We start from the raw sequence: 19,462 nt of genomic DNA, 5'->3' as shown, positions 1-19,462 counted from the left end.
TTTGTATGAAGTATGGCAATACCTTCAACGAATTCTTTTCTTATATTTTTCAGTTTCCTCCTCCTCCTGGAAACGTTTTCTACTCTGCCCAGCTCAAAAGCCACCCTCTCCTTTGCCAGCCTTTGCCCACCTGGGCCTCCTTCCCAGACACCTAGAGTTGGACATTCGTCACTCCTGCCCTCACACAGACCTCAGACCCTGGGAGGCATCACTGACCTCTTTCCTCAGATGTCCTCTGGGGTCAGCTTAGTGCTCCAGGACACAAAGGGGACTCAGCACCTGTTACTGAGTTGACTGTATGCATTTGCCATAGCTGACAGTACAGAAGGCTTATGAAAATAAAACCTGTTTTTCATGGCACAATAAACTAAGCATTTTTTAAAATAAGTAGGCCAGTAGGTCAAGAATTCTATAACTCAAAAAAATAAACTTACCCAAAGTAGCCTTAAGGCTCCATTAGAAATAGAGGCTGAATGATTATTATTATTATTATTATTATTATTATTTTTTTTTTTTTGAGACAGAGTCTCGCTCTGTTGCCAGGGTGGAGTGCAGTGGCTTGATCTCGGCTCACTGCAACCTCCACCTCCCGGGTTCAAGCGATTCTCCTGCCTCAGCTTCCCAAGTAGCTGGGACTACAGGCGTGCGCCACCACGCCCAGCTAATTTTTGTATTTTTAGTAGAGACGGGGTTTCACCATGTTGGCCAGGCTGGTCTCAATCCCTTGACCTCATGATCCGCCCGCCTCAGCCTCCCAAAGTGCTGGGATTACAGGCGTGAGCCACCGTGCCCCGCCGAGGCTGAGTAAGTTTGGCTCCCATATTATCATTTTGATTCAAGGAATATTAAATACAATCCAGATTTTTAGCTTCCTTGAAAACAGCAAAAGTTCAGCAACCCAGGACCTGCGTTTCTGCACAACAAGTTTTGGCTATAATCAGCTGGATTTGAGTAAGGTCGAGTTCCCACCACTCACGTGACCTCTGTCCATGCGGTTAGAGCTGTTTCCCTCATACTCACTGACCTTACCTGCAGGGATCCTGCGCCTCAATGTGCGCCTCAGAAGTCTAGATATACCCACAAACAACAAACGTGACAGCTGTTTTACTGCTCTGGAAGAACAAAAGCAAAACATACCGTGTGGATAAGCAATGCAGGAGGCACAGCCCTTAGAAAGAGCAGCAGCTGCCATAAGTCCAAAAAAACTTGTGGAATTTTTCTCAGTCCCATTTGCAGAAGAGGCTAATGGAGCTTCTTTCAGATACTTCTTTAAACTTTCATAAATAGCAAAGCAGATTATAGTTTCGGAAATTCCAGCATACGAGGCAGTTAATCCTCTATAGAAGCCACGAATGCCTTCGGTCTGGTAAACGTAACGAGCACACTGGAGTGTATTCATCTGCTTAGAGCCCCTCACTCTGCATAAAAGAGACCAACACAGGCTGTTAAGGAGACATATCATGGTGGAACACAGACATCACACAGTAGGAGAACAGGTACGGGTCTTCCTTATGGTGTTAGGATACTTGTTTCCTGGCTCCTAACTCTCATAGCCCTTGTCTTTCGTTATGTGGGGTGTGTGAGGCCGCAGGGGCAGCCTCTGACAGTCCCTTGATCTCCTTTCACCTGCCCCAAGGCCATCCTCTAATGTCCTTACCTTGTTGGTCTTACTCCATGAGAGTCCCCTCCTATCTCTGGGAGAAGGAATGCTGCTGACATGAAGCTTCCAGAAAAACCCAAGAGGACAGGGTTCAGGGAGCTTCCAGAGCTGATCGCATGGAGGCTCCTGGAGGGTGGCCCCCGGGGAGGGTATGAAAGCTCCACGCCCCTTACTCTGTACCTGGCCCTACCTGTCTCTTCTTCTGTATCCTTGCGATGTCCTCTATAACAAACCAGTAAACATTAAGTGTTTCCCTGAGTTCTGTGAGCCACTCCAGCACATTAATAGAATCCAAAGAGAGGGTCATGGGAACCCCAACTTGAAGCTGGTCGTTCAGAAGCTCTGGAGGCCCAGACATACAACTGGTGTGTGGGTAAGTGGGTGGGCGGGGGGTGGGCAGTCCTGGGGACTGAGCCCCCAATCTGTGGGGCTGTCTCCTGGTAGACAGTGTCGGAAGTGAATGAGAGGACACCCAGCTGGTGTCCGCTGTTTGGTGTGTGTGGGGAAAACCCCCTACACATTTGGTCACAGAAGTCATCTTCTGTGTCAATGACTGTTGTGGTGTGACAGTGGAGGAAAAACATGGTTTGAGGAGAGTTTTTCCCACATATCTTTGTACTGTTGTCAGCTGACCTCCAGCCCACTGTGAGGCCAGACCAAGTAGCTGGCACACCTGACAGGCCCACAGAACACTAGCTACATCTGTATCAAGAGTCATAGAAACATGTTCATAAAAACATTAGCATTTGACCTAATTTTAGAAAGAGCTGCAGGGAGCAGTAAGGCTCATCACAGAGGAACTACAACTGCAAAACAATCAGGACAACAATCCAGATAGCTGACCACGGTATATCTGCTAGATTAAGTCACAAGGCCGTGAGACACAGGGAATGCTTTCAGTGGAAAACAGGACTAAGTTAAAGGTAAAGGATGATCACAAGGGCTGGGAGCAGTGGCTCACACCTGTAATCCCAGCACTTTGGGAGGCCAAGGCGGGAGGACTGCTTGAGGCCAGGAGTTCAAGACCAGCCTGGCCAATGTAGTGAGGCTCTATCTCTACAAAAAAGTAAATAATAAGAAAGAAAAATAGGAACATTCCAACCTGTTGGTGAGGCTACTTATTAGATTTCTGATCACACTCGTCTCCAAATAGATTCTATTATTGCTAAATTTATAAAATCATAAAACATCAAAATAAAACAGCAAATGAAAACCATGAGGTTTAGAGGCTCCTACCCCAGGACAAAAAGCATTTATGAACTGCCTGGCTGCAAGGCAAGAGTGAGCCACCAGATGAGTGTAGTTAGGTGTGCACCGGTCACACATCACAGACCCCTCCGAGCGGGCGCAGACCTGGGGCCCCTTGGGCTTCAGTCTCAGCTGGCCTCTCTCCCTTCTTTATTATCTCCGCATAGACTGTTCCCGCTCCTTAGCGGCAGTGACCTTTCTAACACAAATCCAACCATGCAACTCCCGTGCTTAAAACCATCCAGAGGCCGGGTGCGGTGGCTCACACCTGTATTCCCAGCACTTTGGGAGGCTGAGGTGGGCAGATCACGAGGTCAGGAGATCGAGACCATCCTGGCTAACACGGTGAAACCCCGTCTCTACTAAAAAATACAAAAAATTAGCCGGGCATGGTGGCGGGCACTTCCCAGCTACTCGGGAGGCTGAGGCAGGAGAATGGCGTGCACCCGGGAGGCGGAGCTCGCAGTGAGCTGAGATGCACCACTGCACTCCAGCCTGGACAACAGAGTAAGACTCTGTCTCAAAACAAAACAAAACATCCAGAGTTTCTCACCCTTGGCGCTATTCACATTTGGGGCTAAACTATTCAGTTTGGGGAGAAGCAGGCTGTCATGTGCCTTGTAGGGTTTAGCAGCATCCCGGCCTCTATTCACACTAGGCACCAAAAACACTCACCTAAGTTGTGGCAACTTCAAATGTCTCCAAACTTAAATGCTGAATGTCCCCTGGAGGGCACCCCCTACCTCCATCCTCCATTTCCCCTGAGGACCACTGCTCTGATGACTTTCCACTGCCCTCAAAGCCCAACTCCAAACTCCCTTTCAGGCCTGGGAAGGATCGGGCTCCCCTGCTCCTCCAGCCTTATTCTTCCATAACTCCCTTCTCCAGCGCAGATGCACGTACTACACGCCAACTACACTCCCTGTCTTACGGCTCCCCAGAACTAACCATGCTTTCTTTTCTTTTTTCCTTTTTTCATTTTTTTGAGATGGAGTCTTACTCACTCTGTCCCCTAGGGTGGAGTGCAATGGTGCAATCTCAGCTGCAACCTCAACTTCTGGGTTCAAGCAATTCTCCTGCTTCAGCCTCCCTGGGATTACAGGCTCCCGGGTTCACGCCATTCTCCTGCCTCAGCCTCCCGAGGCATGACACCACACCCGGCTAATTTTTGTAGGACAGGGTTTCACCATGTTGGCCAGGCTGGTCTCGAAATCCTGAGCTCAAGTGATCCGCACACCTCGGCCTCCCAAAGTACTGGGATTACAGGTGTGAGGCACCGAGTCCAGCCTAACCATGCTTTCTTGACTCAAGATTTCTACACTCACCTTCTCTCTGCCCAAAAGACTCTTCTCTGCCGCCCCCACCTGGCTATTCTTTTCTTCCCAAATCAATGTCTTTTATGGCATCATTTAAATATCACCAATAGGTCTTAGGAATCATCCAGCATGTTGTTTCTGTAGCGGGACAACTCTTAGATCTTATTCATCAGCCTGCTGAACAGTTCCTTTTTCAGAGACATAGATACCATCCCCAAACTTCCTGATATCCTTAACTGTTGTGGCTTGCTGAATCAAGGCAACTGAATTTGAAACAAGCTCGATGTCATTTCCTTCAAGGATTAAATTCATCTTTCTAGGCTTGAGATACTGAACAAGCAACACCTGGTCTCATCTGAACCCTGCGGGTGTATTTTTCATCCAAGAAATTTCGGATTTCAACAAGAGACCCATCCTCCTGGATAACAATGTCGGTGGGGAAGTGAGCATACGCAGACCTCATCTTGTAACAGAAGCCCAGTGTAACACCCTTGATCGTGTTCTGCACATAACTACCAACAGTTCGAACGGTAGCCAGTTCCTTTCTGTTACCCCACCGTGTGGCACTCCAGAGCCTCTTTAGACTGAGTTCTACATTGATGTGACTGAAGTCCCTCTGCATGGTTCCTCTGGGGCCATTCACAGTAACTGTGCATCTCTTCAGGGTAATGTTGACATTTTCTGGAATGACAACAGTCTGATTGCTGTGAATGGTCTTCATTTTCACAGTAGACACGGCAAAGCCCACCTGGCTATTCTTAAGATGGGAGTTGGGTGCTGCTGCCTCTGAAGGCCCTCCCAACCTTCTCTCTCTTAACCCAACCTGTACTGGGTGACTCTTGAAGGTCTAGTGGCACCCTCAGCAACCTTATCCCACCAAACTTTAATTATCTTATCTGTGAAGCTGTAAGTTCCTAGAAGCTAGGTCTTAATTCCCTGCTGTTTCCCTAGTGACTAGTGCAAGCAACAAATATTCACTGCTGAGAGACAAATATTAACAGAGCTCACCCAAAGTTCTAAAGTATTCTTGAGCACCATCATTAGGCAGAATGACAAGAATACATATACAGGCTCTCAGCTGATGGACGCATTTATCCCTTGCTAAACAGAAGTGATATGAGTTTACTATGGGACACTTGGAATTAGGAGGAATTACCAAAGGCTTCCACAACAGGTGACAGCATGACCAGGAAGGGGAAGGGGGAATCTCTGGTGAGGGACAGCATATGTGGGGAGACAGAGCAATAAAAGCACATGACATTTTTGGAAAACTACAGGACTGCTGAATTAGGAATTTACCCTGAGAGGAACAGATTCATCAAAAGAGTCTGAACAAGTGGTCTGTTCAAATGATTATACCTGATGCATGTTAGAAGGCTCTTTTGGGCAGAATAGATTGATTGGGCGAACTTGGAGTCAAGTGACTCATGCAGAGGTTATCATGGTCATTAGGAAGAAAAATGAACTGGGGCCCCTACCTACCCTTCCTGGGGTACTCCCTGCCTCCTTTCGTTTTGCTTTCGTTTTTTTTTCCAGACAGAGTCTTACTCTATCACCCATGCTGAAGTGCAGTGGTGTGATCTCGGCTCACTGCAACCTCCACCTCCCGGGTTCAAGTGATTCTCCTGCCTCACTCTACTAAGTAGCTAGGATTACAGGCGCCCACCACCACGCCTGGCTAATTTTTGTATTTTTAGTAGAGACGGGGTTTCACCATGTTGGCCAGGCTGGTCTCGAACTCCTGAGTTTGTGACCCACCCGCCTCGGCCTCCCAAAGTGCTGGGATTACAGGCATGAGCCACTACGCCCAGCTCTGCCTCCTTTCTTTAGAGGCAGCTGAAAATCAGAGTGGACTGGCTGGAAGTTTCCAGTGCATACATTTCCAGGCAACACAGTAATACAGGGGTTCTTATTTTTTTTTTTTTTTTTTTTTTTGAGCCAGAGTCTCGCTCTGTCACCCAGGCTGGAGTGCAGTGGCACGATCTTGGCGCACTGCAAGCTCCACCTCCCGGGTTAACGCCATTCTCCTGCCTCAGTCTCCCAAGTAGCTGGGACTACAGGCGCCCACCATCACGCCCGGCTTATTTTTTGTATTTTTAGTAGAGACAGGGTTTCACCGTGTTAGCCAGGTTGGTCTCGATCTCCTGACCTCGTGATCTGCCCGCCTCAGCCTCTCAAAGTGCTGGGATTACAGGTGTGAGCCACCGCACCCGGCCTACAGGGGTTCTTAATAGAATGCTGGTAGTTCCTTCACTTGGACTGGGGAGAAAATGCATCTTTAACCCTAATCCCTAACCGAAATCCAATAGTTGAAGTTGTTAACTATTGGAGTTTAGGGCTAAGCATAGTGGGGTATCTAATCCCAATTTGGGTCTTAGCTATTGTGTCTTCAGAAGTATTAAAGCCACCTTCATAGTTTATTTTATTTCAGCTAGGGTTTTTTACAACTTAGATGAAGCTTAGCTTTATTAAGTCTAAAACACTCTTTACACCGGGTTCCATTAGCTTGGGTTAATTGTATTCATTACGAATGTAAATACACAGGCCACAGTAGTAGCAGCAGTAGTAACTGTGATTTGACACACACAGAAATATTTTCATGTCACATTACATTTGTTGAAAACATCACAGGACACTGTTTATCATTTCTTAGAAATTATAGTAGTTACTGGACTACTGCCATATCTTATTAATTTAATGTGTTAAAGAGGCATACTACTGTATCACTGACAAGTGTATTTTTAAAAACCTTATTAAGGCCTGGTGTGGTGGTTCACGCCTGTAATACCAGCACTTTGGGAAGCCAAGGCAGGAGGACTGCTTGAGCCCAGGAGTTGAGACCAGCCTGGGCAACATGGCAAGATCCATCTCTACAAGAAAAACAAAATTAGCTGGGTGTGGTGGCATGCACCTGTGGTCTCAAACTACTGAGGAGGTGAGGCTGAGGCAGGAGGATTGCTTGAGCCTGGGAGGTCGAGGCTGGGTGATAGATGAGGCCCTGCCTCAAAAGAACAAAAAAAAAAAAAAAAGAAAAGAAAAGGAAACAAAATACATTATTCTACTTAGGAGGCATAGATTGCAGTGAGCCAAGATTGGACCACTGCACTTCAGCTTCGGCAACAAGTAAGACCCTATCTCAAAACAAAAAAACAAAACAACAACAACAACAACAAAAAAACAAAAAAACTCAAAAAACAACATTATTCTAAAAAGGGCCTGCAGGTGTCACCAGACTACCAAAGGAATCCACAGAGCCCCACAAAATGTTACAAACCCCTGGCTGGAGCTTGAGGGTAGAAACCTATTACAGCTGAGGGCCTTTGGAGACTAAAATTAGCCCTCTGAGGTCTGAGGACACTCAGTGTTGTGCCTGTACTGTCTTCCCTTTTGAAAGGGAGACCATCCGGAGGAGAACCCACAGCACTTCAACTGGGGTGGGGTCTGCAAAGGAGAGACAGTCACTGACTCTCTGAGACAACAGGTGGGACTGCGGATCAGGGGACACAACCAGAGATATCCCCTCCTTCCCCTGTTTGTCATCTCTGTCGCCCTCATCTTCCCATGATGCTTATAGCACAAACCTCAACACAAAAGGAATCCTGCGTGCACTTAGATTAAGGAAACGAGGAGGGGGGTACATCTCTATATCTCATCCTTAGAGATGTGGAGGAATTGGGGCAAGAAAAAAAAATCCCAAAAATCCTTTCATTAAGGAAGGAACAAATAATAACTTACTTCTGTTCTAGCTGCATTCGGGTTTTAACCATCCATATAGGATTCATTAAGGAATTTGTGATAAAAGCTGGAAAAAAAAAAAACAGTAAAGGTCAACACTGTACATAGTCCATACTTATTAAAGATGTCTATTATCATATAATAAACTTTGAAATAGGGATTTCAATGGCCTAATAAAAAGACAGTAGGAAGCAGTTATATTTCTATCCTGCAGATAGAAGCTTCAGTTTCCCCATTAAGTGTAACATCTATTGGTATTGCTGGATCTAAAATAAATTTCTCTTAATTTTCTAGAATCCCTTCTAGTCTTTTCAACCTGTAGGTGGTGGTGTTGATATCTGTGTTAATGTGATTCCTACTGAAAATTGTAACTGTCCTAAACCTCAATTTATAAGCCTCAGATCCAGAAATAATTTAACTTTTAAGACTGATCTGCTTATTTGGTTATATGATAACCATTTGGTGAGTATGCCTTCTCCATCTCTTTAAAAAAATTTTTTTTTTTTTTTTTGTAGAGACGGGTCTCCCTTGTTGCTCAGGCTAGTCTCAATTCCTGGGCTCAAGGGATCCTCCAGCCTCAGCCTCCCACAATGCTGGGATTACAAGCATGAGCCAACACACCCAGCCAAACCTCCCTCACCTAACACTGTGAATCATTCTAGGACAACCAAAAAAAGCAACACCATGGTATCAGTCTGACATACAGTATCTCTTCTGTAATACCTCACACCCTCTATAGTGCTGTGGAAGCAGATTAATTTGATACTAGGAAGACACTGGTTTTTTCTTTTTTTTTGAGATGGGAGTCTTGCTCTGTCGCAGGCTGGAGTGCAGTGGCGCGATCTCGGCTCACTGCAAGCTCCGCCTCCCGGGTTGACGCCATTCACCTGACTCAGCCTCCCGAGCAGCTGGGACTACAGGTGCCCGCCACCGCGCCTGGCTAATTTTTTTTTTTTTGTATTTTTAGTAGAGACAGGGTTTCACCGTGTTAGCCAGGATGGTCTCGATCTCCTGACCTCGTGATCCGCTCGCCTCGGCCTCCCAAAGTGCTGGGATTACAGGCGTGAGCCACCAAGCCCGGCTGACACTGGTTTTAAGAACTTCCTTGAGGTCTGCTTTATTTATCAAGGGTTCTAAGTTAACTTTGCAAAAGTTACAAAACAGATTAATAGTTGTTAGCTTATGCTAACTCACTACTGGCCTATCTTTAAGTAAAGGGCTACCTGTTTTGGAACTCTGCCTTTCCTCCTCAGAGCTCTGTATCACATAGAAATGGCTTCCTTGTATAAAGCAACTTTAAGATTTTCTATTCAGGGTCTAGAAATAATTAGCTATAAATATTCAGACAGGTTGGTCATACTTGTATTTGGAGTAACAACGGCAGACAAAACTGGTGTGTACATCTTACAGACTGGTAGGAGATGCAAATTTTTCGTAAAATGCCAATTTAAGTTCTCTAAAATATCTTTCTAGGCTCGGCGTGGTGGCTTATGCCTGCGATCCCAGCACTCTAGGAGGCTAAGGCAGGTGAATTACTTGAGTTCAGTAGTTCGAGACGAGCTTGGGCAACATGGTTAAACTCCATTTCTACAAAAAATACAAAAAAATTAGCTGGGCATGGTGGCATGCAGCTATAGTTCCAGCTACTCAGGAGGCTGAGGCAGGAGGGATGGCTTGAGCCCAGGAGGTGGGGGTTGCAGGGAGCTGAGATCATGCCACTGCACTCCAGCCTAGGTGACACAGCCAGACCCTGTATCAAAACAAAACAATACCAATTAAAAAAAAAAAACCCTTCTGTTTAAATGAACATAGAACTCTATACAAAAGAGCCTTCTCGGCCGGGTGGGGTGGCTCACGCCTGTAATCCCAACACTTTGGGAGGCCGAGGCAGGCAGATCGAGACTATCCTGGCTAACACGGTGAAACCCTGCCTCTACTAAAAATACAAAAAATTGGCTGGGTGTGGTGACACGTGCCTATAGTCCCAACTACTCGGGAGGCTGAGACAGGAGAATCCCTTGAGCCCAGGAGGCGGAGGTTGCAGTGAGCCGAGATTGCGCCATTGCACTCCAGCCTGGGCGACAGAGTGACTCTGTCTCAAAAACAAACAAACAAAAAAGCCTTCCCTTCTCTCAGAAATCTACACGTTCATGTTTTGCAAGTACATCCCGGGGAAGAAGTCCCGCTATGGCTTTTCAGTAGGAAGTGGAATGGTTCCCTCAAAAGAGAACAGATGCCCTATGAGCTGTCACTGACCCTACTAGAAACTCTACTGCAAGCCCTACACCCTCATTGCATAACCCATAGTTGGGGACAGGAGTGCCAATTGTACACAGGGTGTGTGGGACCCTGTGGGGAATCTGAAGAAAGAAACTCTAATTTTAGAAAATCATCTGATGGGGCTGGGCGCAGTGGCTCATGCCTGTAATCCCAGCACTCTGGGAGGCCGAGGAGGGTGGATCACTTGAGGTCAGGAGTTTGAGATCAGCCCGGGCAATGTGGTGAAACCTCGTCTCTACTAAAAATGCAAAAATTAGCCAGGCATGGTGGCAAATACTTGTAATCTCAGCTACTCAGGAGGCTGAGGCACAAGAACCACTTTAACTTGGGAGGAGGAGGCTGCAGTGAGCCGAGATTGCACCACTGCACTCCAGTCCAGCCTGGGTGACAGAGTGAGACTCTGTCTCAAAAAAAAAAAAAAAAAAAAAAACTATATCTATCTATCTATCTATATCTATCTATCTATATCATTTGATGGGCAAACAGAAGACATGAAAAACCTATGAATATTCCTTTAGAAGAACAAAATACCAGTAGCATGCATAGAACATGTACATTTTGAGGGCAAATAAAGAGCTTTAGTGGTCAAGGAAAATAAAATCAAGCTACAAACCGCTCTCACTCTCCTATTGGTTGTAACATAAAGCTTTAGAAAAACAATTTTAGGTGCAAAGGAAGCAAGGAGCTAATTTCTAATTCCTGGAAAAACTGGCACAATGCATGCTTTAGAAAAGTGAGAGAGAGACCCTCTCTTCACTCACTAGGGTAACATACCTGCAGAGCCAGCTGAGAAAATATGCACAATATTGCTGTTAGGCACGAAAATGCCATTAAATTGCTCTTTGGCTTTGGAGTAACATGCAAAGTATACAGCCCTGTTAGAACAAAGAGAACATTATAAAGAAATCATCACAGTGCAACTTTATACGTCCCTCCAGAACACCTGAAAAATTTTCGGAAAATAAAATGGGAAAGATGCTGCCATGTACTAAAAAGCTTGTCCTCGCCTGTGCTAAAACCAAAACCTGCCACAGGCACGTTCAGGAAGCTCCTGTGTGTCCCTCCAGAAATGATTTAGTGGTGACAGAGGTGTTCAAAAATAATTGAGGAAAGTGAGATTTGGGGAAGACATCTACAAAGTCCTTTTACATTCTTCGTTCTGGATAAATGCTAATCCTTTAAGCTTCAACACATTGGAAGTTTTAATTTTTTTTTTTGTTTCTAGAATAGACCACACTTTTTCACCCTGTGCCAAAATGAGAATGTCAAACATAATTTGAACTGTTTTTGGGTGACTCGGGAACACACAGGAACAGCCATCATATCATACCTGTGTTTTCATAAAGGGCCCTTCCGCCACCCCCTGCCTTGACTACCGCAAAGTGGTCCCGTCACCCTTGTTTTCTCTTCACTTTTCCCCCTGCTGTCTTCCCTCTTGTTGGGGCTGGGAAATAGGAGCTACTTGGGATTTTTCCTGCTCTTTCACCAGCAATGCAGGGAAAATGTTTCTTTCTTCTGCTGGTCAATGAATCAATCATAGAATATATTTTGCAGTTTAGGATCTTAACTACTTATCATTGTTGTGTTTTAAAAGTCTTCCATTTCCCCTAATGGGTGAGGCAGTCAGGAATCTGCATCAGGTTACCAGGGTTACACTGTAGGAGCATTGCCTGTGAGCAGCGAGGGCTCTTCTCACTTTATTTACTACAGATGGGCAGTAGGTTTCCCATCTATGAATAAGGCACACCCCAGATCATCTCACAGACTAGTACTTTCTGTCTTTAAATACATCACACATACTTGCTACAAAATTCTAAAGGAACAAAAGCAGTAAAAAAGTCTGCCTTTTCATAACATCCCCAGGTGATCTGTGTTTTTTTTTTTTTTGAGATGGAGTTCTCGCTCTGTCACCCAGGCTGGAGTGCAGTGGCGTGACCTGGGCTCACTGCAACCTCCACCTCCTGGGTTCAAGCCATTCTCCTGCCTCAGCCTCCCGAGCAGCTGGGATTACAGATGCATGTCACCACGCCTGGCTAATTTTTGTATTTTTGTAGAGATGGGGTTTCACTATGTTGGCCATGCTGGTCTCAAACTCCTGACCTCAAGTAATCCGCCTGCCTCGGCCTCCCAAAGTGCAGGGATTATAGGTGTGGGCTACTGCGCCCAGCCGATTTATGTTTAAATTGGAGCACTGATCTGGAAGAATTCTATAAGCTTTTGGTCTTCACCCTATATAAGACAACATTCTCATTTTTGTTGTAAGACTTCATTTTCTCTTTTTTTTTTTGAGACAGAGTCTCGCTCTGTCGCCCAGGCTGGAGTGCAGCGATCTCAGCTCACTGCAAGCTCCGCCTCCCGGGTTCATGCCATTCTCCTGCCTTAGCCTCCTGAGTAGTTGGGACTACAGGTGCCAGCCATCACGCCCGGCTAGTTTTTTGTATTTTTAGTAGAGACGGGGTTTCACCGCGTTAGCCAGGATGGTCTCGATCTCCTGACCCCGTGATCCCCCGGCCTCGGCCTCCCAAAGTGCTGGGATTACAGGCGTGAGCCACCGCACCCGGCCAGACTTCATTTTCTTTCAAGTCTCTTGGAGTATGACAAGTTAAGTGTCCTGCCCTGCCACCCAGTTCCCTTCTCAGGAGGTCCTTTCTGGAAGAAGTTTTTTTGTTTTGTTTTGTTTTTTCTTTTTGAGATGGAGTTTCACTCTTTCACCCAGGCTGCAGTGAAGCGGCATGATCTCAGCTCACTGCAACCTCTGCCTCCCACTGGGTTCAAGCAATTCTCCTGCCTCAGCCTCCAGAGTAGGTGGGATTACAGGTGCCTGCCACCATGCCTGGCTGATTTTTCATTTTTAGTAGAGATGGGGTTTCGCCAAGTTGGCCAGGCTGGTCTCCAATTCCTGACCTCTGGTGATCCACCTGCCTCAGCCTCCCAAAGTGCTGGGATTACACAGGTGAGCCACCACAGCCGGCCTGGAAGCAGTTTTTAATCTACTTTCCAGATATGCTATTCTCTATCTGTCTCTGTTACTTTTACAATCATACACTGTTATCCTCTCTATCCTATCTATCCAAGAGAACTTTCTGCCAAGATAGGATGCCCTGTATCTCTGCTCTTCAATACAGTAGCCATTAGCTGCATGTGGAGATTGAGTGCTTGAAACATGAAGACTGAGCAACTGAACCTTTAATTCTGATTAATTTACATTTAAACTGCTCCATGTGGCCAGTGACTACCCTTATGTACTGGGACAGTACAGTTCTGTATATTTCAAACAGGCTTTCAGGAGAAGCCCTGCAAAGATATGAGGATGTCATTTTACAGAAAGTGAAGTTAAAAGCCTTTACAATTCCTCTGGATCAGTGTTTCTAACTGCGTTGGAGTCACCTGGGGGTTCTGTTAAAATGCAGATTCTGATGTAGGTCTGGGATGTGCCCTGGGATTGTGTGTTTATAACAAGCTCTCATACAATACTAATGCTGCTGGCCACATGCCATACTTAGAGTAGCAAACACTTAAAGTACATTACAGTAATGATAGCAGATTAATTTTCACACTTAAGAATATAAAGAATACAGTAAGTAGAATCCTTTCTTTCACACACTGAAGACACGCCTAGCATTCTCAATGACTATTTGCTATGTCCGCTATATTTAGGCAAATCCAACATAGAAAAAGACACTGGTCATTCAGCAGCATCACCCTTTGGTAAGAAAGGACCCAGAATTCCATACTGCTTAGCATGAGCTAGCTGGAAAGTTTAATGCTTACCTTGATGGTGCAACTCCAACCAAATTTGGACCCAAGCCTCTAAAAAGTGACTTTGGTCCCTCTTTCTCCAAGATCGACCTGAATAATAAGAAAAGACAAACCTTTAAAACCCCTCAGGCAAGGCCTATTAAAAATGATAAAGAGTCAACCTTCTCATTAGTTCCTTGAGAGAATAAAATGTTTGAGAGATGTCAAGCTCGACTCTTATCTGATTTGGTTACAATACAGAATCGGAAGGCTGTAGAATACTGCTATCATTAGCACAGTGAAAAAACATGCCTCAAAAAGCATCAGTTAGACATATTTTCTTTCTCTCCCTTTTTTTTTTCTTTTTGAGATGGAGTCTCGCTCTGTTGCCCAGGCTGGAGTGCAGTAACATGATCTCGGCTCACTGGAACCTCTGCCTCCTGGGTTCTAGCAATTCTCCTGCCTCAGCCTCCCAAGTAGCTGGGATTACAGGCACTCACCACCACACCCAGCTAATTTTGTATTTTTATTTATTTATTATTATTATTTAGACGGAGTTTCACTCTTGTTGCCCAGGCTGGAGTGCAATGGCGTGATCTCGGCTCACTGCAACTTCCGCCCCCCAGGTTGAAGCGTTTCTCCTACCTCAGCCTCCCGAGTAACTGGGATTAAAGGCATGCACCACCACGCTCAGCTAACTTTATATTTTTAGTAGAGATGGGGTTTCTCCATGCTGGTCAGGCTGGTCTTGAACTCCTCACCTCAGGTGATCTGCCCGCCTCAGCCTCACAAAGTGCTGGGATTACAGGCATGAGCCACCACACCCGGCCCAACACAGGAGGAAGCTGTGCAGAGTCTGTACTATACAATGAAATCCTGTGAAAGCAGGATGAGTATCTGGCAGAGGGTGCCACACAGGGAATAATTTCCTCATCATAATAAGATTCACTGAGAAACAGGTTCAGAGATTTCTTTTGGATTTACTGCTTCTAACAATCCTATCTTCTAGATCTTTACCTAATGTAGTAGAATCTTATACAGGGATATAAAGAATAGAGCCAGCTCAGTGCTCATACCTGTAATCCCAGCATTTTGGGAGGTCCAGGTAGGAGGATCACTTGAACCCAGGAGTTCCAGACCAGCCTGAGCAACACAGTATAAACCCCATCTATACAAAAAATGAAAAATATTAGCCAGGTGTGGTGGTGTGTGCCTGTGGTCCCAGCTACTCAGGAGGCTGAGGTAAGAGGATCACTTAGCCTGGGAGGTCAAGGCTGCAGTGAGCCATGATCATGCCACTGCACTCCAGCTTTAGCGACAGAAAGAGACCCCTTGTCTCAAAAATTAAAAACAAAAAAAAAGTTGGCGGGGGAGGGCAGAATTTAAGGAATAGAAAACTAATAATTTTCATGGACGGATGACGGTTATTTAAAACCAAAGCCTAGTATCTCAAGTCCAAAGATTATACCGTGACTGCTTTTCGTTTTTCATTTTCTTTTCTTTGTTTTTTTTTTTTTGAGACAGAGTCTCACTCTGTCACCCAGGCTGGAATGCAGTGGTGCAATCTTGGCTCACTGCAAGCTCCGCCTCCCAGGTTCACACCATTCTCCTGCCTCAGCCCCCCGAGCAGCTGGGACTACAGGCACCCGCCACCACGCCCGGCTAATTTTTTGTATTTTTAGTAAAGACGGGGTTTCACTGCATTAGCCAGGATGGTCTCAATCTCCCGACCTGATGATCCGCCTGCCTTGGCCTCCCAAAGTGCTGGGATTATAGGCGTGAGCCAATGCACCCAGCCAACTGCTTTAATTTTAAACTTTTTTTTTTGTGATGACATACACATAATAGAAAATCTACCATTGTAACCTTTTTTTTTTCTGAGACAGAGTCTCGCTCTGTTGCCCAGGCTGGAGTGCAGTGGCATGATCTCAGCTCACTGCAAGCTCCGCCTCCCAGGTTCATGCCATTCTCCTGCCTCAGCCTACCAAGTAGCTGGGACTACAGGCACCCACCACCACGCCCAGCTAATTTTTTGTATTTTTAGTAGACACAGGGTTTCACTGTGTTAGCCAGGATGGTCTTGAACTCCTGACCTCGTGATCCACCCACCTAGGCCTCCCAAAGTGCTGGGATTACAGGCGAGAGCCACATTGTAACCATTTTTAAGTGTACAGTTGAGTGACATTAAGTACATCCACACTGTTGTGCAACCATCACCACCATCTACCTCCAGAACCTTTTCATCTTTTCAAACTGAACTTTTGCACTCATTAAGCACCAGCTCCCTAGCCCTCCCTCCCGTCAGGCCCTGGCAGTCACCATTCTACTGTCTCTAATCTGACAACTCTAGGTATCTCTTATCAGTGGCGTCACATCTTTTTTTGTGACTGGCTTATTTCACTCAGTCTTTGAGGTTCATCCATGTTGTAGCATGTGTCACAATTTCCTTCTTTTTATTTTATTCCTTTTTTGAGACAGGGTCTTACTCCATCACCCAGGCTGGAGTGCAGTGGGACGATCTCGGCTCACAGCAACCTTCACCTCCTAAGTTCAAGCAATTCTTGTGCTTCAGCCTTCCCAGTAGCTAGGATTACAGGTGAGTGCCACCACGCTCAGCTAATTTTTGTGTATATATATATATATATATATATATATTTTTTTTTTTTTTTAAATAGAGACGAGGTGTCACCATGTTGGCCAGGCTGGTCTCGAACTTCTGGCCTCAAGTGATCCACCCACCTTGGCCTTACTAAGTGCTGGGATTACAGGCATGAGCCACTGTGCCCACCCAGAATTTCCTTTTTTTTAAAGGCTGAATATTATTCCACTGCTGTATATACCACATTTTATTATCCATTCACCCATCGATGGACACTTGGGTTGCTTCCACGTTTTGGCTATTATATGTAGTGCTGCTATAAACATGGGTGTACAAATATTTGTTTGAGTCCTTGCTTTGGATTCTTTTGTGGAATCCAAGTGGAATTGCTGGATCACACGGTAATCCTATGCCTAATTTTTTGAGAAACCACTAGGCTGTTTTCTATAGTGGTTACACCACCTTACATTCCCGCCTGCAATGTAAAAGGGGTTCCGATTTCTCTATAACCTCGCCAATGTGCTTTTCACACAAAAAAGTTAAATATTGTTTCCAATTAAAAGCGACTTAGAAAATCCTGAAAGGATTGTATGGAACATTCTTTAGAGGCATTTTTCCGCAGCAACACAGTTATTCACGTTGGTTAAATTTACTCTCTTCAATGGTTCAATTTCCATGGTATCCAGTAGAATTTACATTGTTATATAATGGTCTTCTCTAATTTAATCTCTTTTTCTTATGGAGGATTTCTCTTTACTAGTAGTACCATCCATTTGATAGCACTTAAGGTTGATCTAGCTCACAAATAATCATATGCTAGTCAAAAGTTAATAGAATGGCTGGGAGCAGTGGCTCACATCTGTAATCCTAGCACATTGGGAGGCCGAAGCGGGTGGATCACTTGAGGTCAGGGGTTCAAGACCAGCCTGGCAACATGGTGAAACCCCGTCTCTACTAAAAATACAAAAACTAGCCAGAAATCACTTGATCACAGGAGGCAAAGGCTGCAGTGAGCCCAGATCATGCCACTGTACTCCAGCCCGGGCAACAGAGCAGGACTCTGTCTCAGAAAGGAAAAAAAAAAAGTTAATAGAATGTTTTACTTTCATTATAACACACAGAAGGTATGATGAAAAGGTCTTTCACTTTATGGAAAAGATGTTCCTATAAAGTTAATAGTAAAGTAAATCCTGTCAATTCTATTTCTACCTCTTCCACTTTCTCCACAGGGAAAGTTTCCCAAATTAAGCTGGTTTTTGGTGCAAAAGAGGTACAGCTGACATTCTGGTCCACAGCATACTGGATAATGTTAAAGTTTCATCTATTTCCAGCTCTCCTTCCTCAGATCACTATGTAACTTTTCATGCTCTAGATTCTCTGAATGTATAAAGTAAATAGAATTTTGAATCTTAGCTTCTCTTCTCCTAATTTTTGGATGTTTAAAATAAAGAATATCTGTACCTTCAAGAGCTAGTAGTAGGCTAGCAATTAGATGAAAAAGAGTGGAAAGAAAAAAGTAAAACTATGTCTATTCACAGATGGCATGATCTTTTGTTGAAATACTAAAGAATCGGCCGGGCGCGGTGGCTCATGCCTGTAATCCCAACACTCTGGGAGGCCGAGGCGGGCGGATCACGAGGTCAGGAGATCGAGACCGTCCTGGCTAACACAGTGAAACCCCATCTCTACTAAAAATACAAACAAAAAAAACTAGCCAGGCGTGGTAGTGGGCGCCTGTAGTCCCAGCTACTCGGGAGGCTGAAGCAGGAGAATGGCGTGAACCCAGGAGGTGGAGCTTGCAGTGAGCCGAGATTGCGCCACTGCACTCCAGCCTGGGTGACAGAGCGAGATTCTGCCTCAAAAAAAAAAAAAAAAAGCTATTATTTTAAAAAGTAGTAAGTCAGACCTTAGTTCAATTTATATAATTTTTTTTTTTTTTTTGAAACGGAGTTTTTGCTCTTGTTGCCCAGGCTGGAGTGCAATGGCGCGATCTTGGCTCACCACAACCTCTGCCTCCCAGGTTCAAGTGATTCTCCTGCCTCAGTCTCCAAGTAGCTGGGATTACAGGCACCCGCCACTACGCCCAGCTAATTTTGTATTTTTAGTAGAGACAGGGTTTCTCCATGTTGGTCAGGTTGGTTTCGAACTCCCTACCTCAAGTGATCTGCCCACCTCGGCCTCCCAAAGTGTTGAGATTACAGGCATGAGCCACTGTGCCTGGCCCATTTATATAATTCAATTACATAAAAATATTATGCAGAGACAGTAGTCTTATTTTCTAATCAAATCATTTTCCTTACTGACAGGTGTTAAGCCCAGGCCCTTTTAAGTGATCCCATACAACCTCTGCCTCCTGGGTTCAAGCAATTCTGCTGCCTCAGCCTCCTGAGTAGATGAGATTATAGACAACAGCCACCACGTCCTGCTAATTTTTTTTTTTTTTTTTTTGAGATGGAGTCTTGCTCTGTCAGCCAGGCTGGAGTGCAGTGGCTGCATCTCGGCTCACTGCAGCCTCCGCCTCCCAGGCTCAAGTGATTCTCCTTCCTCAGCCTCCTGGATAGCTGGGATTACAGGTGTACACCACCATACCTGGCTAATTTTTGTATTTTTAGTAGAGATGGGGTTTCACCATGTTGGCCAGGCTGGTCTTGAACTCCTGACTTCAGGTGATCCGCCCACCTCAGCCTCCCAAAGTGCTGGGATTGCAGGCGTGAAACACGAATATTGCCCCTTTTTTTTTTTTTTTGAGACGGAGTCTTGCTCTGTCGCCAGGCGAGTGCAGTGGCATGATCTCGGCTCACTGCAACCTCCACCTCCCGGGTTCAAACAGTATTGCTCTTTTAAGGGTTCAAGCAGTATTGCTCTTTTAAACGATCGAGCTGTCTG

The 19,462-nt window shown here is 45.3% G+C and overlaps 1 protein-coding gene and 1 pseudogene across 1 annotated transcript in view; both read right to left on the bottom strand.

The window, feature by feature from the left end:
- SLC25A33 (solute carrier family 25 member 33) overlaps positions 1-19,462 on the bottom strand; it is a 45,709-nt gene that overhangs the window by 3,802 nt on the left and 22,445 nt on the right. The window contains exons 3-6 of the mRNA NM_032315.3: positions 14,011-14,088; positions 11,014-11,114; positions 7,960-8,026; positions 1,138-1,418 (exon numbers count right to left, since the gene is read on the bottom strand). Of these exons, the coding sequence (NP_115691.1) occupies positions 1,138-1,418; positions 7,960-8,026; positions 11,014-11,114; positions 14,011-14,088 (527 nt within the window). The remainder of the gene's footprint in view (positions 1-1,137; positions 1,419-7,959; positions 8,027-11,013; positions 11,115-14,010; positions 14,089-19,462) is intronic.
- RPL9P11 (ribosomal protein L9 pseudogene 11) lies at positions 4,291-4,967 on the bottom strand (annotated as a pseudogene).

This window comes from Homo sapiens, chromosome 1 (assembly GCF_000001405.40).
Source record: "Homo sapiens chromosome 1, GRCh38.p14 Primary Assembly".
NCBI classification, from domain to species: Eukaryota; Metazoa; Chordata; class Mammalia; order Primates; family Hominidae; genus Homo; species Homo sapiens.
The sequence above is the reverse complement of the archived record's forward strand: the minus strand, read 5'-3'. Positions and strand labels throughout refer to the sequence as shown.